The following is a 25,337-nucleotide window of genomic DNA, read 5'->3' on the forward strand; positions in this document are numbered from 1 at the left end:
CACTTTGGGAGGCTAAGGTGGGTGGATCACCTGAGGTCAGGAGTTCGAGACCAGCCTGGCCAACATGGTGAAACCCCAACTCTACTAAAATGTACAAAAATTAGCCAGGCATGGTGGTGCACACCTGTAATCCCAGCTATTGGGGAGGCTGAGGCAGGAGAATCACTTGAACCCGGGAGGCAGAGGTTGCAGTAAGCTGAGATCATGTAACTGCACCCCAGCCTGGGCGACAAGTGTGAAACTCTGCCTCAAAAACCAAAACAAAACAAAACACGAAACAAATTCAGTAGTTCCGAAGCAAATAATTTGCAACAAAAAAGTTCCAAAACACTAGTTTAATAGCAGTTATAATTTTCAAATATATGTTGCATATACTAAACTATTAAACACTAACATTCATAATTTAATAGGTAACCTGATCGGACATTTATGTAATTCATTTTCAGTAAATGAAGGTTTTGCCTTTTCTTCTCCAACACTGTCTAAAGACCTCTTGTCTTAACAGAAGGTAACTATATAACTAAAACCTATAATATTAGAAACAAAAAGAAAGCAAAACCACAATAGCCAAAAGAAAAAAAAATCCAAAAAGATACATAACAAAACACTAAACCTTGCTCTAAAGGAAAGCAAAGTAATTGTAGCTTAAGCCCTAGATAGAAAAGACCATGCCACTTGTGCTTTATCTTTTGGGACTGTGAGCAGTTCCAATCCCAAAGAGCTCAATTACTACCCTTCTTTTACTGTCACTTCTCTCCCTCAGAGGATCCCAACATCATTCATGATCAAGCCTAAACCACAGAGAGAATGCAGTCAGCTAACACTACTAAAGCACAATACATTTCATAATTTTCCTCGAAGCCTTATCCATTAAAGAAAAAAAAAATTATGACTATGACTTCAATTCTGATTGTTTAGGAAGTATATTATTTTCCTTCTTAGGATAATGAAATTATGCTACACTGGCAATGTATATTATCTCTTGAGATACTAATGAAACTAAGAGAAGCAAACTCAAAAGGTTACCCCAAAATATGTTCTAAAAATTTGTACTGCAGAGTGAAATAGCATTATAAAATGCATCTTCTACAACCATTTTCTGCAAACAATGGTATCATACATTACTACAGACTTTAAGGTTATTCTTCATCTTTTACATAAACAATTTTGATGTTAAGACGCACTACAAAGCGTGATAATACATATGCAAAGACCCTACTGATGTCTTAATTACCTAGAATATATTTTTGCAAGTGTTTTGCAAGGGCATATAACAAACACTTATCATTAGCACATTATTTCTTCCCATTTTGAGTTTTATATTCTAATAGATATTCTATGAAAATAACATCCTTTATTTTAAACACATGTAAAAACCTCCCAAATTACCATATTTTATATTATTGGCATTCTTTTCTCCAATGAGATGGTTAATACTTAATTTTATCTTAAGTCAGTGGTCAAAAAAAAAAAAAAAGAATTTTCTTTTGAAGAGTAAGTCAAGGATCAAATTTATTGAGTACTTATTAGGTACAACACCCCAGGCTAGGAGCCATGGTAATATAGAGATGTGATGAGCACTGTCACTGTCTATAGTGACACACAATTAGGTAGACTGAAAAAAATAATTTTTAAATACTTAACTATAAGGAAAACATTGTTTTAATCTGTCAATTCTGAATAATGTAATTTTACAAATATTCTATATATATAGAACATTCATACATATACACATGTATTTCACATCCTCAGATACAAACCAATACACTAAAATTTTATAAAAATTGTATCATTAATCTACAAATTATTTTAAATAATATTGTTTAAAATGACAGCTAACATTTAATGAACACTTATTATTAGCCAGGCACTAAGCTAATAGCTTTACCTGTATTATTTCTCTTCCCCAAAGCCCTATGAAACGGGTAGTATTATTATCGACTTCTTCACAGACAACAACATTTTAAGGCTCACAAACATCAAGGACCTTACCCAAAGCTGTACTGCTACGAAAGGCTCTAAAGTAGCATAGCTACTAAATGGTCCAAAGCCCGTGCTCTTAATCACTATGTGTACTTCCTCTCCAAATTCAAATTGTACTTTTCCCATGCCACTATCTCCCATGAAAAGAGTTCTGTATAATATATCTCTATCACTGTAATATAAAAACCTTAAAATATAAGAAATTTCTTCACCCCACCTATCTTAAGACCATGAAACTCCATAGATAATACCCTCCTCAGGCCTATTTTCACATTCATATTTCATCATTTACTGCTTACATTTTACTATTTGTTCCTTAACCATTTAATCTCTAACCCAATTATAGCTCTTATTTGGAGTTATTTCTAATAATTTATTTGCAAGAATCCCTGTATTCCAAAAAACTCAATTAGCTAACTTACTATCTGCTTAAATAGCTGCTTAAAAAGAATAGGATTCTTTACTTACCTAAATTATACACCTGTCCACATCAAGAATTTTTAGTAGTTAATAAGATGTTTAGATACAATATCAAGGATAAAAGAACAAGAGCAAGTAAGAAAATGTAGGATGACTAGCCCAGTTCAGTAAGGTCACTGCAGCCAAGCACAAATTTAGCTGAGTTTCCAGCAACCAATGAAAAAATGGAAACATGATTCTAGCAAGTAAAGAGAACAACAGCTCATTAAAAGATACAAAATCTTTCATAACATTAGAACTTTAGAAAAAATCTCATAAAAGTTTTAAAAGGTATTAAAAATAATATCAATAACAATTTTGTTATTGTCATTTGTTTCTTTAGTGACACAGACCATCTTTACACACAGTTATTCATACTAACCATTTCTTCAAGCTGGTTATTCTCAACTGTGGGCAGTTTTGTCCCTCAGGGGACACTTACAGCAAGAGGATACCTATCTAGCTAATCAGTCAACAAATAGGATAAAGCAGTGAACAGAATAAGACACAGTTCTTCACTTCATAGAACTCAGAGTCTAAAGAAAAATAATTAAACACATATTTTTTAAAATTATGTAATTATAAGTAGTACTGCTTAAAGGATTCTAAGTATAGGCTACTATACTTAAGTGAATTTGCCTAATAATTTAAAATATAGTGAAGTAAGACGTGTTTTTTATTTTATGTTGTATGCTTTTCATATTTTTTTAGATTTTTTTTTTTTTTGAGACGGAGTCTTGCTCTGTCACCCAGGCTGGAGTGCATGGTACAATCTCGGCTGACTGCAACCTCCGCCTCCCAGGTTCAAGCGATTCTCCTGCCTCAGCCACCCGAGAAGCTGAGACTGCAGTTGCACACCACCACGTCCGGCTAATTTTTGTATTTTTAGTAGAGACAGGGTTTCATTATGTTGGCCAGGTTGGTCTCAAACTCCTGACCTCAGGTGATCCACCCACCTCGGCATCCCAAAGTGCTGGGATTACAAGCATGAGCCACCACACCTGGCCAAGATTTTTCAAATTTAACATCAGTTATTTTAATAATCAGAAATATTTACTGATTACTAAAATCAGAAAAAAATCAGAAAAATTTAGTAAATTTACTTAATTGGGATTTCCTGTAGCTCCTTTCATCCTGGATGGGGGTTTTGGGCCAAGCAGGGGGGTAAAGGATCGAGATTGGAGACTGAGATCAACCACATGGACAAGCGATTAATCAAATCTACATAATACAGTCCCAATAAAAACTCTGAACACTAAGGCTAAGGGAAACTCCCCTGGTCAGCAATATACCCTGTGTGTATTATCACACATCTGTGAGAGGAACACAACACATAGTGACTGTTCAAGGAGAGGACAACACAAACTTTGCATTTGTCCTCCACATTTGATCAGTCAGCAAATCCGCTCTACCTTCAAAATACATGGTAAATATCCCACAATTGACTACTTCTGATTACCTCCATAGCTATCATACTATTTAAAGCCACGATCATCTCTTAAATACAACAAGAGCCTCTTAACAGGTCTCCCTATTTCACCCTTGCCCAATTACAGCCCATTTTCTATATAGCTGCCCAAAGGCATTTTTTGAAAACCATATATTCAGATCATGTTATTCCAGTGCTCAAAACTTTCCAGCAGTATATCTCCTTCCACAGAATAAAATCTAAAATCCTTATGGACTGAAAGACTTTCAAGGCCTAGCCTTCAACTATCTCTTGGACCTTATTTCTTATGACTTCCCACTTTCACTCACTCCGCTCCAGTTCGACGGGTCTCCTTGCTATACTTCAAACACACCAAGTATGCTCCAGTGCATACTTGCTGTTCCATCTGCCTGTGCCACATTCTTTTTCTAGGTATCTGCTCACCACCCTAAAATGGCATACATGCTTATTTTTCTTTTTCCTTTTACTTTGCATATTTCTCTTCATAACACATATCATCTGACATATTTGTATCTGAATCCTTAAGATAAATGAGTAGCTTTTAACCTTATAACATTCATATTGTTAGGAACTTACTAGCATTTCCCAAAGTGTCTATAAAACCTTATAGTGTTCACTTTGCATAGTAGGATCAGACCATATCAATGACCATGCAAGCAGAAATCATGCAAAACGATCTTAATAATCAGTAGGGAAAAAAATCATAATTATTCCATGGCCTTTAAAATTTTGGTCAAAACACTGAAAACTCTATTACTGTCAGTTAAAAATACATAGGGAAATGAGAAAATATTTAATTCACTGTAATTTTAAACATTAGAAACATTGAGAATTGGCCAGATGCAGTGGCTCACGCCTGTATGTACTCCCAGTACTTTGGGAGGCCTAGGTGGGTGGATCACTTGAGGTCAGGAGTTCAAGACCAGCCTGGCCAATATAGTGAAACCCCATCTCTACTAAAAATATAAAAATGTGCTGGACATGGTAGCATGTGCCTGTAATCCCAGCTACTCGGGAAGCTGAGGCAGGAGAATCGAAACACTTGAACCTGGGAAGTGGAGGTTGCAATGAGCCAAGATTGCACCACTGCACTCCAGCCTGGGTGACAGAGGAAGACTCCGTCTCAAAAAAAAAAAAAAAAAAAAGAAGTAGAAAAAAAAAGGAAAAAAAAAGAAACACTGAGAATTAAAGTGTTTCACTTCTTTGTAAAAATCCTGTCAAGAATAATTTAAAAAGTAGTTCCCTTCTCCTAATGGTATATATGACGATTTAGAGTAAGTCTCTTTTCCACGGCTTAGCAAATTGTCACACTCCTTTCTAAGTTTGGATTGGCATCCAACATTTTATCCTTTACACTTTCAAAGTTGTGAAATATTTCCAAGAATTTCTTTAATGTGAAATATTTTGCCAGTCTTGCTTCCTCTGGGACATTTTCATCCTTTTCATCACAACTACTTCTCTCATTTGTATCAATGAGTTCTCCTTCTTTAAGCACCTGCAGTGCATATCCAGATTCTCTGAAATGGCAGCAATGTCAGCATTTCCACAGTCAGCAATTTCTTCAGTACTCCATTTACACTGAATTTGGGTTTCATTTCTAGCATTATCATTTTTCATTTCTTTGTTGCACTTTTATCTATGTTGGCCAAGTCCCTCTTTCAATTATCCAGGTTTGTAAAATCTCATATAGGTTTACTGCTGGGAGCCAAGGAAGCAACACAACAACAAGCTTTGCTGTATGTGCATGAACTGACAGATGCACAGTGACCAATCACTGACAAAATCTAAAAGTAACATCCATCACTTATCATGACAGGCATCTGTTATTTATGTAGTGATTTGTAGACTGAAGAAAGAGCAGCTAAGAGTTCATACTTTATACAATTACTCTTAATGTGCTATGGTAACTGAAATTCAAATGGTGGTGCTGGGGGAACAGGTGTTATTTAGCTTAACTGCAGTAACTGATATTCATGTATATCAGAATTGCATACAGCAAGGCCTGCCTGTATTTCCATAGGATGTCTGTTTCCTCATGCACAGAATGATAGTAATAGTACCTTACCTACTACCTCAAGGATGTGAGAATTAAAGAAGACATGCAAAGGATTTTGATAGTTTTGTTTCTGTTAGCGCCTGGCACTAACAGGTACTTACTGAATATTAGCTGTTACCTTTGGAAAGTAATATGCCAAAAAAAAAAAAAAAAAAAAAAAGAAGAAGAAGAAAAGCTCCATGGTAATATACTCATGTTAACTGAAATCAAATCAGTTTCTTTAATAAAAATCTTCTCAGGCCTTTTAATAGTCTAATAAGCATGCTGAACCTTCCAAAGTATTTTACTAGTAATTAGTAAATCTATTAATACCATAACTTAGCAAATGCTGGGTCAAAGTTCTGATATAATTGGGAAAAATCACATTTTTTCATGAATATTACCATTTCAGAATCCTATCACTAAAACAAACTATTTTAAAAAGTTAAATTCCAGCCGGGCGTGGTGGCTCATGCCTGTCTGTAATCCCAGCACTTTGGGAGGCCAAGGCGGGCAGATCACAAGGTCAGGAGATTGAGACCATCCTGGCTAACACGGTGAAACCCCGTCTCTACCAAAAATACAAAAAAAATTAGCCGGGCATGGTGGCGGGCACCTGTAGTCCCAGCTACCTGGGACACTGAGGCAGGAGAATGGCATGAACCCAGGAGGCAGAGCTTGCAGTGAACCGAGATCATGCCACTGCACTCCAGCCTCAGAGTGAGGCGACAGAGTGAGACTCCGTCTCAAAAAACAACAACAAATAAAGGTTAAATTCCTACCTCTTAAAACTAACAAAATGTTTTTACATGTGAAATTCACATAAGGCAAACAGACTTAACCTATAAACAACTCCTTCAATAACAGACAAACCACAGAATATATGACATGAACAGGCAATTCATAGAAAACATGCAAACAGCAAATAAACATACAAAGTTATGCAACCTGACTAATAATTGAAGAAATTAAGTTTACAGTTTTCCGCTATATATTTAGCAAATAGGAAGACTGTCACTGGGTATGTAGTAAAGTAAGCATTTTATATGCTGTAGGAATGTGAATGTGGCCTCATGCAACCTTTATTGAAAACAATTTGGCAATGTCTCTCAAGTAGTTCAAGTATTCATATATTTTAATAATTCTATTTCTAGAATTTATCCTACAAAAATCTTGTACAAGTAATCAAAGACATAGCTACAAAGACATTTTTTCCAGAAGTATTTGTAAAAGACTAGACACATCTATCAAAAGTGAAAATGGCTTTGTTGTATTATAATACATCCATACAAAGAATGTTGCCATTTAAAAAATGAGAAAGATCTATATATACGAATAGCGGAGGTAAAGGAAATAAACTACCATGTAAAAATACATATGTAAAAGTAAATGCTAGGCCTATCTCAAGCACCTCCTTTTCGTCTATCTCTTAATAATCCATTGTGTAATAGTAAGAGATAATAAGATAATAATAAGAGAAAACAATCTCAGCTGTGGCAATACATGCTCTTTGCCCTTCATACTTATATAACGAATGTGAACAGTTTAGGTACTGAAAGAAAAATCTCCTTCTACTTTCATGTCAAGCCTCTGGGTCAGTCTAACCAAAGAGTACACTGACAGAAAGCACAGTGTTTTGAAGATATTGTCATTTGCAACTTAGCCACGTGAATCAACACTTTCTTAATACTATTAAAACACCCAGAAATAAATTAGATGCTGTGGCTAAAATAAGACAGTAGCTGATAAACCAATCTCAAATGTTTTTGTGTTCACCTTTTTAAAAAAGCTTGATGATTAGCCAACTGATTTTATAAAAATTATGCAAATGATTACCAAGTCAGGATTTTTACATGCATCATTTCACTTAATCTTACTTAGAGAAATTAAGTAATTTAGTCAAAGGTCCCACATACAGTAAGCTACAGGGGGCCAAGACATATCCAAATCTGAAGAATTACACACATGGAACTTACAAAACATATTCTTTAACACAAGCACTGCAATTTGTAAAATTCTTTATATTTGAATATATAATTAGTAAAATTCTGTTAAATGTGGAAAGCTATAATTACTAATGCCTGATAATGAAAAATACACAGGTATCTGTCCAATATAACATCTTCAGAAATCCCTTCTACACAATTTGCCTTTTCATACACTGAATGTACTTGTTGATTAAATAAACATTTTTCAGACAGGTGATCATATAACACTTGCTTTTTACTGAAGAAATGAAAGAAATAAATAAGATTTTGTGTGTCCATCCTCAGGCATTTTTCTAGGCACCTGGGATACAGCAGAGAACACACTTCCTGCTTTTATAGAGCTTGTTGAATTCTAGTGAAGTTTATGCTCTATATGCAAATAAGTTTATGTAGGAAGATGGTGGTTTACTCTGAAAACTGGAGTTACTCTTTTTGTTTTTTTAGAGACGGTCTTGCTCTGTCACCCAAGCTGGAGTGCAGTGACACCAGCAAACTCACTACAGCCTCGAAGTCCTGTGCTCAAGTGAACCTCCTGCCTCCACCTCCAAGTAGCTGGGACTGCAGGCACAAGCTACCACGCCCAGCTAATTTTCACATTTCTTTTTGTAAAAAATGCAAGTCTTGCCATCTTGCCCAGGCTGGTCTTCAACTCCTGGGGTCAAGTGATCCTCCCATTTCAGCCTCCCAAAGTGTTGAGGTTACAAGCAAGGGCACCAACGCCCAGCCAGATCTTTCTCTTAAGGTTCAAAATGACAAAAAAATAAACTTTATCTGGGTAACAGTGACAATAACATGGGAAAATATATGTTGGATTGACTATTATACTTAAGCAACATTTTGCCAGCAGTTTAAGAAACAAATTAACATAAAAATTGGGCCCAGCGCAGTGGCTTGCGCCTGTAATCCCAACACTTCGGGAGGCTGAGGTGGATGGATGGCTTGAGGTCAGGAGTTCAAGACCAACCTGGCCAACATGTCTCTACTAAAATACAAAAATTAGCTGGGCGTGATGGCAGGCACCTGTCATCCCAGCCCCTAGGAAGGCTGAGGCAGAAGAATTGCTTGAACCCAGGAGGCGGAAGCAGCAGTGAGCCGAGACTGCACTTCTGCACTCCAGCCTGGGCGACAAAAAGTGAGACTCCACCTCAAAAAAAAAAAAAAATTTGTGCTAAAGTGCTCACCTGGAAGCAATAGACCCTCTAAGAGAACACAGAGAAAAACATTTTGCAATACTAGCTTAGTTGCTGAATTAAAACAAATAAAAATAAATAATAATAAACAGAAAAACTTTCAATGTAAAATATGCAGCTTATTTTTATAAAAACTAAGAAAATGTTTTATAATGAAATGAATATTAAAACTTCATTAATAAAACTCTTCAATCATCCTCTAGCATCTAGTAAAAAAATTCATTAATAAAACTCACCATGAACTTCTTTATTAAAAGGTAACATATAATTAAAATGCTTTTATAAGAAACTCATATGATTAAAAAACTAGGTGCTGCCAGAACACTGTATAACTTTCTTTTTTGGTAACTGTAATTTTGTGTTCTTTTGATTCTGAAATATCAAAATTTAAATGAAGTTTTTTATTTGTCCTAAAGAGATTTTTAAAACAATAAAGATTTCCGGTGAAACCCTGTCTCTACTAAAAATACAAAAAAAAAATTAGCCGGGCGTAGTGGTGGGTGCCTGTACTCCCAGCTACTTGGGAGGCTGAGGCAGGAGAATGGTGTGAACCCGGGAGGCGGAGCTTGCAGAGAGCAGAGATTGTGCCACTGCACTCCAGCCTGGGCAACAGAGCCAGACGCCGTCTCAAAATAAATAAATAAATAAATAAACAAATAAAAATTTCCTCAATGATTTTAACCATATTTTCTTTTTGAAAATTGTCTTTAATCTCTTCAGATCTCTACCTGGTCATTTCTGTACAGCCTATTTTCTATTAAGAAGTTCATAAACTGACCAGGTGCAGTGGCTCATGCCTGTAATCCCAGGACTTTGGGAGGCCAAGGCAGGTGATCACTTAAGCCCAGGTGTTCAAGACCAGCCTGGGCAACATACCAAGACATTGTTTCTATTCTTTTAACAAAATACAAAAAATAAAAATAAAAAAGAAGAAATTTATAACTATGAGAACAAGGCAAAAAGTGATATAACTACTGTACTATAGTAAAAGGAAGACCTACACATACTTACAAAATACGACATTTTTAAAAATAAAAGTTGGTCCCTAAGAACAAAAAATTTCTAAAAACACCTCAATACTTTTCTCCAAAAAGTCAATATGCACATTGCTATATGCATTATTTTTTTCTTCGAATCTTATTATGTCATATCAAACCATGCTGCAGCAACATCCATTTTTTGTGCACACCATACCTTTTCTTAACTATAGGTTTCTAAGAAGTTAAGAAGTGTGCCATCATTAATGGAGTTGCTGTCAGAATCATCAATTTTCCTGTTCTCTCTCCTGGTAACCAAACTGTATAGAGAAACACATGAACTCCCTTCTGATCTAGCACTGACTGGATCTTGCTGTTGTTTGGACTTTTAATTGACCTAATAAAAACAAAAAAATAATTCTACCATAAGCATTAAGTAACTTTGGGGGAAAAAAATGTAGCAAGTGCCAGTTTTGTGAAGCTACAATGATTGGCAATTTTTTCTATTATCTCCTTTTGCTTTCAGTATATCTCATGAAAATTATTAAAAATCTGTATTATTTTAAAATTATATTATTTCATCATAAGGAATTATCAACAGATTAACACTAACTTCTTTTATCTGGGTACATTTTAGTGCTCTGTTTATTTTATAAATCAAAATCTAGAAAATTTTATTCCAAATACATTTAATTCTATCTTACAGTCTTAACTTCATTACATTTTGTAACTGAAATAGCATTAACCTGGAAATAAGCCAAATGTTTTAACAGTCAATTAGCAGAACAGAGCGCCACTTACTGGCTTTTAGTTATTATTCACAGAATACTTAAAAGAGAAACATGGTACAATTTCATTCTGAGATTGGTAATAAACTTTAATGGACTTACACCACTCTAAGACAAGTACAGCAGCACCTCCACTGAACATTCTAATGGCAAATTATTTTAGAATTACCTTTTAATGCTGAAACACAGCATCAGAAAACATCCATATAAATCAAGGGGAATTCATATAAATTAATACATCCTTAATAAGTAAAATGAAGGAGCAGGTGTTTATTTTCTCAACTTTCTAGCTAAACCAAATGTTTGGTTCTTCATTGACTGGCTTTAAAAAACAATTCTCAACAATACAGAACCTCAAACAAACTGTCCAAAAGACATAAAAATAAATAAGCTTAAAAAGCTACATTGAGCAAAGAGATTTAAACTAGCTTCAAACTCAACATCTCCTTTTTATGGGCATGACTGTCACTCACTTTAAACTTTTATTTTTATGAACCAGCTAAGAACCTGACAACAATCATTTTACTTTTCAAAGGCTAATAGAGCACTCTAGTCAAGAAGGACATAAAGCTTAGTTACCTTGGTTTGGCTGCATACTCATATTTGGTCTGGGACCATAGTTTCCCATTGGTTGTCCCTGACTCATTGTCATCTGATTCTGTACTGGCATGCTCTGTGATGATGGCACAGAATGGTTGTAACCTCCCATGGATCCATGGCTACTTGAAGGCATATTCATGGAACTGTTTGTCATATTGAGTTGATTGGGTCCAGGTCCCTGCATAGGCATATGGTTAGGCCCTTTGAAGAAAAATGATCAGAAGCAAAATATGAAAGTTAAACAGATGGTCCATACAAAAGTACCTGGAAATAATTTTTTTTTTGCATTATTATAGTAATACCAAACAATAATTAATCGATAGCAAAGTAAATGGTTTATAGGAAAAGACAGCAAATACTGTGAAGTAGTTATTCCCATTTTTGGATTAAGAAATTGATGCTTTTGAAGTCAGGAGCACTCTGAAAAAGAAGGAAGGACTAGCTTCTTCATAAAAGAGCAAAACATATCATAAGGTTGGAGTAATTAACTATGAACATAAATGAATAGACTAACAGATCGATTGAACAGAACAGAGTCTAAAAGTAGACCCAAATACATAGCTGAGTAAATAATCACAGTAATATTAAGTATTAGTGAGCAATAGAAAACTAATTCAGTAAATGGTATTGTGACAACTGGGGAGCCATCTGGAAAAAACAAGTTGGATCACTATCTCATTTGTTCCACTAACTAATTCTAGATGAATAGAAAACTTAAACATTTAAAAAGAAGAAACCATAAAAGAATTTCAAAAAGGAGAATTTTAAAAATAATAATGGAAGGACCTTCTTAAGTATGCCAGAAAACCCTGAGCCATAAAACATTGATAAATTAGACTATACAAAATTTAAAAATTTGCACGACATAAAAAACTCAAAATTAAATAATAAAAAGGTAAATAAGAAAATATTATTTATAAGATAGATCGCAGACCCAGACCAAATTAATTACTTAACATATGAAGTAAGTAAAAGACCACCACCAGTAAAAGAATGGGCAAAGGACATAATGAGGGAATGACTAGTTCACACAAAAACTACAAAAAGGTTCATCAACATTAAAAGATTGATTGCTTCACTTAAAATAGGAAGGCAAATTAAAACTATGAGACCGAACTTTCACCTCTCAGATTCTCAAAAATCAAAAGTTCGATCTAACTATATTGTGAAGAAAGAAGCACTTTCATCCATTGTTGAAGGAACAGAAATCTTACTTATATTTCATGGGGAATCAAGCTTGTGGAATCAAGGGTGGGATCAAGCTTGAGGAAATTTGTGATGACAAACAACAATTCAAATAAAGTAGTTGTCCCTCAGTATCTGTGGGAGATTGGTTCCAGAACCACCCACAGATTTCAAAATCCGTAAATGCTCATGTCCCTGACATAAAATGACACAGTATTTCCACATAACCTATGTACATCCTCTCATATACTTTAAATCATCTCTACATTACATGTACTGCCTAACACAATGTAAATGCTATGTACATAGTCACTATACTGTGTTGTTTAGGGAATAATGACAAGAAAAAAAAAGTATGTACATGTTCAATACAGTCACAATTTGTTTTTCCAAGTATTTTCAATCCACTGTTGGTTAAATCCATGGATGTGAAATTCATAAATGCAGAACTGATGGATATTACTATTTTTACACAAAGCAATTTGGCACTAACTGTCAAATTTTAAAATATATATACCTTTAACCCAGCAATTTCAGTTCCAGGAATTTATGCTAGAGATATACAAATTTTTGTGTGCATGCGTATTGACACACAGAACACATATATATGTGTATATATATTTTTACAGCAAATTCATGACAGTATAATTCATAATAACAAAAGACTAGAAGCCTATGTTTCCATCCTAAATGTTCGAATAAATTAAACTTGTAAAAAAGAACATGATAGAGACCAAAAAGAATAAGGCATCTATTTACATATGGAATAAAATAATGGTCTCCAAGATATATCTTTGAGAAAGAAAAGATACATAATAGTATTTAATGAGTGCTATCATTTGTACTTTAAAAAAAAAGAGTAAAAATAAAGGAAATACACATGCATTATTTTATATAGAGAAAATCTCTCTCTCTTTTTTTTTTTTTTGAGACGGAGTCTCATTCTTGTTGCCCAGGCTAGAGTGCAATGGTGCAATCTTGGTTTACTGCAACCTCCACTTCCCGGGTTCAAGCGATTCTCCTGTCTCAGCTTCCCAAGTAGCTGGGATTACAAGTGTGTGCCACCACGCCAGCTAATTTTGTATTTTTAGTAGAGATGAGGTTTAACCTCACTGGTCAGGCTGGTCTTGAACTCCTGACCTCAACTGATCCACCCACCTCAGCCTCCCAAAGTGCTGGGATTACAGGCTTGAGCCACCATGCCCAGCGAGAGAATATCTCTTGAAGGACAACTAGAAACCAATGCCTCTCTAGAACTGTCTGGAGAGGTGGCGGCTAGGCATCCTTTGGTATCCTTTGATTTTGGTCCCATAGGCATGTATTACCTAGCTTTTAAAAAATCAATTAATTTTTTAGGCTGGACTCGGTGGCTCATGCCTGCAATCCCAGCACTTTGGGAGGCTGAAGCGGGTGGATCACCTGATGTCAGGAATTTGAGACCAGCCTGGCCAACATGGTGAAACCCCATCTCTATTAAAAATACGAAAATTAGCCAGGTGTGGTGGTGTGCGCCTGTAATCCCAGCTACTCGGGAGGATGAGGCAGGAGAATCGCTTGAACCCGGGAGGCAGAGGTTGCAGTGAGCCGAGATTGTGCCACTGCACCCCAACCTAGGCGACAAGAGCAAAACTCTGTCTCAAAAAGAAAAAAATAGTAATTTTTAAAAAAGGGAACCTGAGACTGAGTAGTGATTTGACCCAGATCAATGAGAACATAAGTAGCTCTAAAACTGAGTCTACATAATGAAATATACATTAAAAACCAAACTGAAATAGGAAACAGCCAAGATGCAAATTTGTGTGCATAAACAGGTTGGCTAAATGCTATAAGGAACAAATAAAGAAAATATAAGTTACTGGCCTTCCAATTTCTCCTACACTTAACTGTAACTCCGTAACTATTGTTAGGAGAAATTCTTTCTGTTTTTTTTTTTTTTGTTTTTTTTTTTTGATGGAGTCTCACTCTGTCGCCAGGCTGGGGTGCAGTGGCGTGATTTCGGCTCACTGCAACCTCCGCCTCCTGGGTTCAAGTGATTCTCCTGCCTCAGCCTCCTGAGTAGCTGGGATTACAGACGTGCAATACCACGTCCAGCTAATTTTTTGTATTTTTAGTAGAGACGGGATTTCATCATGTTGGCCAGGATGGTCTCAATCTCTTGACCTCGTGATCCACCCGCCTTGGCCTCCCAAAGTGCTGGGATTACAGGCGTGAGCCACCGCGCCTGGCCTGGAGAAATTCTTAACTATTGTTTCGGAAGCTCTATAGTATTCTGAACAACCCAGGTCATAAGTGGTTGATAATAACTAGCTTATAAAAGAATATACTTCAGAAGGCCTTACACAAAACCAAAATGTCATGTTAACCATAACTGTACTGCTGCTCAAATGCTTCTTTGGCCTTAGGCTTCAATGTTACACAGAGAATTTAAGTCAAAATCCTAATTCAAAGTACCATCATAAAAAGTCACAAAACTCCTAACTAGCTAACCTGCACTATCACTACCTTTCCAGTTCTAAAAACAGTGTGTCCTGGTGAACTAAATGTGGACTTGGCAAGAAGCTTTCTCTTGACTACAATATGACTACAAACTGAAAAGCAGTGATGTCTTTATTCCTACCTCCATACTGGATGTGTGCCATATATGTTGCAAGCCTTAGCAGGAAATAGGAGACAGCCACTGAAACACCACTGCCCTCCTATATGATCAGTCACACCTCAATCTTCTATAAGCCAGGCTACCTTACCTCTTTTGCTCTGTGCTCTCTTGTTTCCTTACTGCACCCATCATCCTTGGACACCAATGCTATCAATCAACACAATCGGCTACAGAAAACAGTATCCTAAAGATGCCAATTACTAATTTTAATAATTGTTCTGTTATTTTATTTCCATTACTGCTAGTTGTATAATGTCTTCTTTATCAATGAAAATAACTTTTGTCTTAGAAGGTAAAAATATTCTGATACCTAATGTAGATAATATTCTACCAAAAATTACGGCCATGGGTTGATGCTACTGTTACAAAAACAAAATAGTGTAAAGATACTTGTATGATTAAAATTTCAAACCAGCCAAAGGTAACTAAATCAGCATCCAATGTCTTAAAACATATCAACCTAGTGACCCTACACTTAAAATTGACAAATAGAAAAGAGAATGGCTCAGTGTATAAATAATGTAAGGAAGTTTACATTATTTTTCAGCCTTTAATTTTTGCTTTAAAATCAATTCCAATATTTATGTTATGCTATAAACCTATGTATTAAAAAAATTTAGATTCAGCTTCAATATCAATAAGGAAATACTAAATACACCAGCACTTCAGAGACTGTTTTCTTTCCCCATGTGTTTTTCCCAGTGATACTGTTTCTGAGATCAATCAATATTTAAGTAAATAAAAACTCAGGGAAATGTTATAATATCTTTTTTAAACAGACTTTAATTCTTAAGCCATGGTGCAACGCCTTTTTTTCCAAAAAGCTTCTAAAGCCAACTGTATTGCAGTTTCAGACAGACTAAATTTAGCCAGTTCTGTTCATCAGAGGAATGGTGTGTGTCAGCTACATCAAAGCCCAAGGGCAGCCTGATAAACACTGAATACAGGTCACGTAGCTCTGTAGCTAACAAACTCTAAGAGAGCTTGTACTCGGGGGCATTCAAAGCAGTTTTGTCATCAACAATCTAGTATCCCTTGAGCCCCCATGTCGTTTCAGTTGCTAAGCAACTCTGGTGTTAATGTCTTAGAGGAGAAAAACTTACCAGGCATCTGGCCGTTCATCTGGTTCTGCATGTGCGGTGCAGGAGGACCCCCACCTACCATTCCATCTGAAGGCATGTTGTGAGAGCGTGGAGGTGGGGGAGGGCCGCTCTGATTCATCCCTCCAGGACCCATAGGCATATTCTGTGTGGGTGGCTGAAAGAAGACAGTTTAGTAAAACAAGAGAAACAGACTAATATACGAAAGATGCATAGGGTAAAAGAGTTGCTTATGTTACTAAATTGCAGTAAGAACAAAAACACAAATGCATTTCGAATTCTTCTAATGCATTTTCATCATGAACATAGTTAATAACCCCCAAAACTTTAAAGCATATTTACTTTATAAAATCTCAGTAGTGAAAATTAAAATGTTAACATTCTATACAAAAAATTCTCATTTATTTATATATTAAGCATTTCTAATGTGTCTATTATTATCTAAATTATGTGAAAAAAATTAAATGTCCTTTCATTATTGATGTATTGGATACACTTATTAATGATGGATTTTACCTAAAAATGTACAGTAACAAAAAATGATGAAAGGACTCTAAGTCCCAAAATGTGCCATATTTTACACTATTTCGGGGTGGAGGATAGTGGCAGCAGAGGAATGTTTTAAAACATGAAGACAACAGTTCAACATTTTTGTGCCGACTACTGCTATAGATTGGAAACATTACTGATGGCCTCCAAGGGTACAGAGACAGCTGCCTCAAAAGGATGCCCTTGGCAAATTTCCTAATGCAATTTTGAAGAAAACCACTGACTAACCTTCAGAGTTCACAAAAGGGCAAAAGGAAAAACAGATATGAGGTGGTCTGCCACACCTGGGTCCCTTCTTAGGGATATTTTGGTGGAGAAAGCAAACGGTTAGTTTCGCTCCAATCCCCCATTTTTAATCTTGTAGGAGGAGAGGGAGGCATTATTCTTTACTTCGATGTTCTAAATGTAATGTCCATTCCTGTATTATCAGTTGTTCTCTTCCTCCTACATTTAAAAATGGCCAGTTACTGTATGCCTTTCCATTTTGTGAACACAATTCTCTTTGGCACACTTAATAGATACACATTGTTATTTGGCCATCACATTTAAATACTCAAACCTCCAAACAGTTAATAATCACTAACATTTACAGAAATAAACAAGTCTACTCTAATAGCACACATTTTAAAATCAGAATTTTAATTTCTTCACAACTAAATCCAGATGAATGCTCTTATTTTCTCTTAAATTCTCATATTATTTCTCCAACTTGTATTCTTTAAACACTTAAAAACCTTGTTCAGTTTTCACCAAAACAAACAAAAAAACAAACAAAAAACACTAATTTGAGTCATATTATCTAACTTTTAATCATCCTTATTTATCATCCTTCAAACCTGGCTACCTTAACCCTCTTCTGTCTGAAAACAGAAATCCTCCTTCCTCTATTCTTGTCCAAATTTTCTGTTAAAAATTCATGTTCTCACTCTTAATAGTGAGGTCATTTTCTTGTAATTCAACTAATAAAACATCATTACTGTTACCACCATGCTAGAATAACTTGTATCAAACTAACCCTCAGCTAAATAAAACTCATAAAATCTAGACAAAAAGTAAAAACTGTTTGAAGCCACTAAAGAGTGACTTACACAAAGAGGAACAGAAGGGGCTACAACTCCTGAAAGAACGGAAGCATATAAGACCAGCTCCACAATTATCTTGGCTTTTTCCTTGAGTTTGCTGAGTAACAGGGAAATACAGCTCAAGTAGAAAGTGCAGTCCAATTGGACTAAGGAAAAAAAAGAGTCAGAATTTTTGACTATCAAAGAGCTGGAAACTAAAGAATAAATTTCCAGAGAGAAAGGACCACAAGAGGGGAAACATTCAAGAAAACTAGTCGAAATAGCAGGTAGGAGGCTAAAGAGCTCAGCAGAGATTCCAGCTGCTGCTCACTGATATGGAGACAAAGACTGGAGTGTAGGCCCCACCAAGTTAGAGGAGCCTTCATAAATAACTCCAACTCTCTGTTGAGACTACAGAAGGGCCAGCTACTCCTTAAGAGTAAGGTCGAAATTGAAATAGATCAGCCCTAAAAAGTCTTATAACCAACCTTTAATAGATTCAAGGTAACCTCCTAGTACTTCACATACCAAAGGAAAACTTAATTCTCTTTGGAGCAAAGTAACACAAACTAGAGCTTCTATAATTGTTCAACCACAAGGTCTAACACTCTTAAAAATTGCAAGGCTTTCTAAAAAACAAAAATAAATGACCAACACCCACTTTGATAGCTGCAATAACATAAAAATTAAAAGTCCAGAAAAATAACAAGTGTTGTGAACAATGTATAGAAATTGCAACTCTCATATATGCTGGTGGAAATGTAAAAGGGTACAGCCACTGTGGAAAACAGTTTGACAGTTCCTCAAGAACTTAAACAGTTACCATATGATCTAGCAACTCCATTCCTGGTACATACTAAAAAGAATTGAAAACACACATTCACGCAAAATTTCTACACAAATGTTCACAGTGGCATTATTCATAATAGTTAAAAACTGGAAAAAACTCAAATGTCCACCTACTGATGAATGGATAAACAAAACGTGGCATATGAATACAACGGAATATTATTCAGCCACAAAGAAGAAATACTTATACATGCTACAACATGGATGAACCTTGAAAACATTATGCCAAGTGAAAGAAGATGGACACAAAAGGCCACATAAATTGTATGATTCTATTCATAAGAAATGTCCAGACTAGGCAAATTCAGAGAGACAGAAAGTAGATTTGCTGTTGCCAGGGGATGGGGAGAGGGGGAGAATTGAGATTGACTGCCAACAGTTTTCACTTTATTAGGGTAGTGAAAACATTCTGAAATTAGATAGTTATGATGCTTACATAATTGTGAATATACTAAAAACCACTGAATTCTGTACTTTAAAATGGTTAAAATGGTAAATCTTATATAAACTGTATCTCAATTAAAAAAAGAATGGACAACCAAGAGAAATAACAGAAAATTTAAAAAGACACCTAAGTCATTCAGATTTTGGAGTTCCAGGCCAGATGTGGTGGCTCATGCCTGTAATCCTAGCACTTTGGGAGGCCAAGGCAGGCAGATCACTCGAAGCCAGAAGCTCAAGACCTGCCTGGCCAACATGGTGAAACTCTGTCTCTACTAAAAATACCAAAAAAAAAAAAAAAAAAAAAAAAAAAAAAAAAAATCAGCCAGGCGCAGTGGCACGTGCCTGTAGTCCCTGATACTTGGGAGGCTGAGAAACGAGAATCGCTTGCACCTGGGAGGTGGAGGCTGCAGTGAGCTGAGATCGCATCACTGCACTCCAGCCTGGGAGACAGAGCAAAACTTTGTCTCAAAAAAAAAAAAAACAGATTATGGAGTTACTAAAGACTTAAAATAACTGTGATTGGTATGTTCAAGAAATAAATAAGGCTGGACACGGTGGCCCACGCCTGTAATCCCAGCACTTTGGGAGGCTGAGGCAGGTGGATCACGAGGTCAGGAGATCGAGACCATCCTGGCTAACACGGTGAAACCCTGTCTCTACTAAAAATACAAAAAATTAGCCAGACATGGTGGCGTGCACCTGTAGGCCCAGCTATTAGAGAGGCTGAGACAGGAGAATTGCTAGAACTCAGGAGGCGAAGGCTGCAGTGAGCCGAGATCGTGCCACTGCACTCCAGCCTGGGCCACAGAGCGAGACTCCGTCTCAAAAAATAAATAAATAAATAAACAAACACAGGACAGACGGAGAATTTCAGCAAAGCCCTGTAATTCTGTAAGAAAGTCAAATGACAATTCCAGAAAAGGAAAATATAATCACTGAAATTAAGAAATCATTAGTTTAGAAACAGCAAAACAGAGATTTAATGAAGTAATGAATTGAACCCAGATATATCAAAGTATTAAAAACTAAAGTCAGAAAAAATCTTAAAAGCAGTCAGTGAAAATAAGACATATCACCTGGAAGGGAACAGCAATAAAACTAACAACTAATTTTTCATCAGAAATAATAGAAAATGAAGATGACAAAATGACATCTGTAAAGTGCTAAGACAAAAAAAAAAGAAAATCAACCAACCAGCCCAGAATTCCACACTAAGAAAAAAATACCTTCTAACATGAAGATGAAATAAAAATAAGTTTAGATGAACAAAAGTTAAGAAAACACTTGTTATAAGAGAACAAAATATATCAAGCTAAAAGAAAATGGCCCCACATGGAAGCATAGAACTAGAGGAGTTAGTTAAGAGGAATGGAAAAGTATATGTGGATAAATACATATTAACATTTAAAATAACAGTAATAATGACTCTACTGGTTTAAACAAATGTAGAAAAAGAAAGTATAGGACAAGACACACAAAAGACTAGGTTAGGCCGGGTGAGGTGGGTCATGCCTGTAATCCTAGCACTTTGGAAGGCCGAGGTGGGGGAATCCCTTGAGGCCAGGAGATCGAGGCTAGCCTGGCCAACATGATGAAACCCAATCTGTACTAAAAATACAAAAATTAGCAGGCATGGTGGCGGGCACCTGTAATCCCAGCTAACTCGAGAGGCTGAGACAGGAGAGTTGCTTGAGCACAGGAAACGGAGGTTGCAGTGAGCTAAGATCACACCACTACACTCCACCCTGGGCAACAGAGCAAGACTGTCTAAAAAAAGAAAAAGACAGCGAGATAAATGAAATTAAACCGTTATAAGGTTCTTGTATTTTTCAACAAGTGTTAAAAGTATAAATTTAGACAACCTGATAAACTAATATTTTAATATTTTAATGAAGAATATTTTAATCTCTAGGGCAACTACTTAAAAATACATGCACACATATTAAAGATGTACACTGTAAAATTATATGTAAAATCAAATAGAAAAAATTATGCTTGATTAAAGAAAGGAACAAATAGAAAAAAAATACCTGCCTTGTAAGACACAAATCCTACTATATCATGTTCTACATTAAATGTAAATGGACCCATCATTCCAATTAAATAACAAATACATTAGATTGGATTTCAAAACACACAACTATATTCTGTGTACAACACAACTACTTTAAAGTCAAGGGAACAGATATATTAAAAGAAAAAAATGGAAAAAGATATCATGCAAATACTAATTAAAAGTATGATGATGTTGCTACGTTAATACTGAATAGCTGGCTTAAATTATTAGGGATAAACAGAGATGCTTTATTACGATAAAAGTTCAACAGGAATGTTTAACAATCATAAATGTGTATACATCTCACAACACTGCTTCAAAAATTTATAAAGTAAAAGTTGACAGAACTAAAAGGAAAAACAGAATAATCCAAAATAACAGTTGGAGATTTTAAGATACTTCTCTCAGTAATGTATAGAAGAAAAAAAACCCTATGAATATAAAAAAATTTTGACATTACTAGTAACCAATTTGTTTGACCTAATTTGTATTTACAGAATCCAATAACTGTTCAATACACATTGTTCTCAAGTACTCAAGGAATGTTGACTGAACTGAATCACATACTGGGCCATAAAGCAAGTCAATAAATATCAAAAGATTGAAATCATATAAAATATATTTTCTGAGCACAGTGGAATTAAATTAGAAATCAGTAGGCCGGGCACAGTGGAATTAAATTAGAAATCAGTAGGCCGGGTGCGGTGGTTCATGCCTGTAATCCCAGCACTTTGGGAGGCCAAGGCGGGTGGATCACGAGGTCAGGAGATCGAGACCATCCTGGCTAACAAGGTGAAACCCTGCCTCTACTAAAAATACAAAAAATTAGCCAGGCGTGGTGGCGGGCGCCTGTAGTCCCAGCTACTCAGGAGGCTGAGGCAGGACAATGGTGTGAACCCGGGAGGTGGAGCTGGCAGTGAGCCGACCATGCCACTGCACTTCAGCCTGGGCGACAGAGCGAGACTCCATCTCCAAAAAGAAAAAAATAATAATAATAAGAAATCAGTAACAAAATTATTCATAAAAGAAGAAATCACAATGGAAATTTTAAAATATTTTTAATTGGTAATGAAAATGTAATATCAAAATTTGTGAGATGCAGTTTAAGCTATGCTTACAGGACCATTTATAGCTTTAAAATGCATATTTACAAGAAGGAAAGTTGAAAAATAACACTATCATCCTTTATTTTCAGTAGCTAAAGATGGCAAATCAAACCCAAAGTAGTACAAAGGAGGAAATAATGTAAACAAGAACAAAACTCAATGAAATAAAAAGCATTAAGAGAAAATTAAGCCAAAAGCTGGCTGTTTGAGAATATTAATAATTAATAACCCTTAGCAGAAATAATCAAGAAAAGACAGAAATTCCAATTTTAGAAAAATTAAAAGGGGGGGCATCAGTACATATGCTATGGACAGTAAAAGGAAAATAAGGGGATATTAATATGGGCAGTAAAAGGAAAATGAGATATTAAGAACAACTTTATGATAATGTATTTAATAATTTAGGTAAAATGGACAACTTCTTTGAAAAACATAGCTTATAGAAACTGACACAGGAAATAGAAAACTGAAACAATCCTCTATTTATTAGAGAAACTGAATCCATCATTTAAAATTTTCCCTGAAGTAATCTCCTGACTCAGATACCTTCAATAGAGAATTCTTCTAAACCATTAAGAATAAATAATACCTCACACCAATTTTTTGTTCCAGAAAACAAAAAGAAGGGCATCAGTTCCCAATTCTTTATGAAACTACCAAAACCTGACAAGGACATAAGGAAAATGACAGGTCAAAACATCTCTCATGAACACAGACACAAAAATGTTAAACAAAATTTTAGCAAATCAAATCCAGACTTATTAAAAAGATAATACATTATAACCAATGAAATTTATTACAGGAATGTAAGTTGATTTAACTTTTGAAAATTAATCAGTGTAATTCACCAAATCATCAAAGTAAAATCCATATAATCATCTCAACAGATAAAGAAAAGAATTTAATGAAATTCAATACCTACTCACAATAAAATCTTTCAGAAACTAAGAATAAAAGGAGCACTCTTAAAACAAAAATTTTACAGCCAATGTCATCTTACTAATGAAATACTGGATTCTTTCCCCTTGAATTCAGGAATAAGACAAGAATATACATCACCATTTCTATTCAACAAAATAAATAAACCAACACAAATCAATGGTATAAAGACTAAAAGAAAATAGAAAACAAAGTAAAAAGAAATAATGATTTAAAAAGAAGACTTACAATTGTCATTATTTGCTGATGACATAATTAAGTGCATAGAAAACCCAAGAGAACCTATAATAAACCATTAGAATAAGTGAATATAATAACTAAGGTCAATATATAAAGATCAACTATATTTCTATATATTTCCAAAAAACAATTAGAAAGTGAAATTTAAAAACTGATGGCATAATAGCATCCAAAAAAACTCAAAACACTAGGAATAAATCTAACAAATGTGCAATACCTCTACACTGAAATACTGTTGAGAGAAAGAGTTCACAAAATGGAAGGATATGCCATCTTTGTTGACTGGAAGATTTATTAATAATATTGTAGAGGATAATCAAATTCCCTGATGTTGACCTCAAGATTCCATGCAATCCCAATAAAAATTCCACAGACTTTTTGCAGACTCACAAGCCAATTCTAAACTTTGCATGAAAATGCAAAGGACCCAGAATGGCCAGGAAAATCTTGGGGAAGAACACTAGAATATACAAAGATTTATCACAAGCTACAATAAATAAGACATAATTAATACAACGACAGACAAACAGACCAACAGAACAGAGAATTAAGAAACAACCCACATATACTGTCACAACGAAACAACTTACATCTAATCGTTAAAGAATGATCTTTCCAATAAATGGTGCTGGATCAACTAACTATCACATGGCGAAAAGAAGAAACTTGAGTCCTATCTCAGATTATATACAAATTTAATTTGCAATGGATCATGAATAAACTAACTTATACAAGAAAATATACATGTATCTTCATATTATCATGACTATGACACAGGAAAATATTTCTTTAACAGGATACAGAATTATCCCTTCAAAATATTGGCAAGTTGGACTTCATTTAAATTAGAAACTGTTCATCAGACACCACAGAGAATAAAAAGACAATTTTCAAACTGGGAGAAGATATCTGCAATATATATAGCCAACAAAAGACTTGTTCCAGAATATATAAAGAATGCCTACAAATCCATATATATATATATATATATATATGATCATTTTAAAATTTTAAGCCCTTTTTTTCAGTCTACATACACAGAACTTAATTTAAAAATGGGCAGAAAAGGGATATTTGGAAAACCTCTTGGGGATAAACATTGTTATCTTGATTATAGTGGTGATTACGTGGATTTGTCAAAACTAATCTATCTATATACTTAAAATGAATGAATTCTATTGCATGTGAATTACACCTCATGTCACTTTTTCCCTGAGCACCAGAATTATAAGGTCCCCACTGTCTGCTCCAACATTTTCAGATATTCTTCCTTCATAACACTTACTACGGCTGTAATTTCAAATGTGTTTGTGTAATGATTTAAGGTATGTCTTCCCCATTACAGGTTTAAGTTCTTTAAGGACTGCGCCCATGATTATATTTGCTTATTACTGGAGCCCCCAATCATCTAGTAGCAAATAGAGGTACTCGATAAATATTTGTTGAATGAAAAATGATTGTGCAGTATGAACACTTTGAGAATTAAATCAGGAGGCAGTATCATTCTGCCAACTTTCATGTTTTTTAATTATCAAAATTGCCTACTCCACCTTCACATCTCCATTTGAAGTCTATCAGACATGAAATCTCTGATATTTCCCTTCACCCTCAAGCCGCCTTATCCGTAGTTTCAGTGACGGTAATTCCATCTTTCCAGTTGCCCTTCTGAAAACCATGGAGTC

The 25,337-nt window shown here is 35.2% G+C and overlaps 1 protein-coding gene across 14 annotated transcripts in view; it reads right to left on the reverse strand.

The window, feature by feature from the left end:
* The window catches only part of SS18 (SS18 subunit of BAF chromatin remodeling complex), a 74,967-nt gene that overhangs the window by 24,922 nt on the left and 24,708 nt on the right, over window positions 1–25,337 (reverse strand). For all 14 annotated transcript variants that reach the window (XM_047437767.1, NM_001308201.2, XM_047437763.1 and 11 more), the window contains 2 exons: window positions 16,415–16,568; window positions 11,450–11,671 (listed from right to left, as the gene is read on the reverse strand). In XM_047437767.1, the coding sequence (XP_047293723.1) occupies window positions 11,450–11,671; window positions 16,415–16,568 (376 nt within the window). The remainder of the gene's footprint in view (window positions 1–11,449; window positions 11,672–16,414; window positions 16,569–25,337) is intronic.

Source organism: Homo sapiens, chromosome 18 (assembly GCF_000001405.40).
Source record: "Homo sapiens chromosome 18, GRCh38.p14 Primary Assembly".
NCBI lineage: Eukaryota > Metazoa > Chordata > Mammalia > Primates > Hominidae > Homo > Homo sapiens.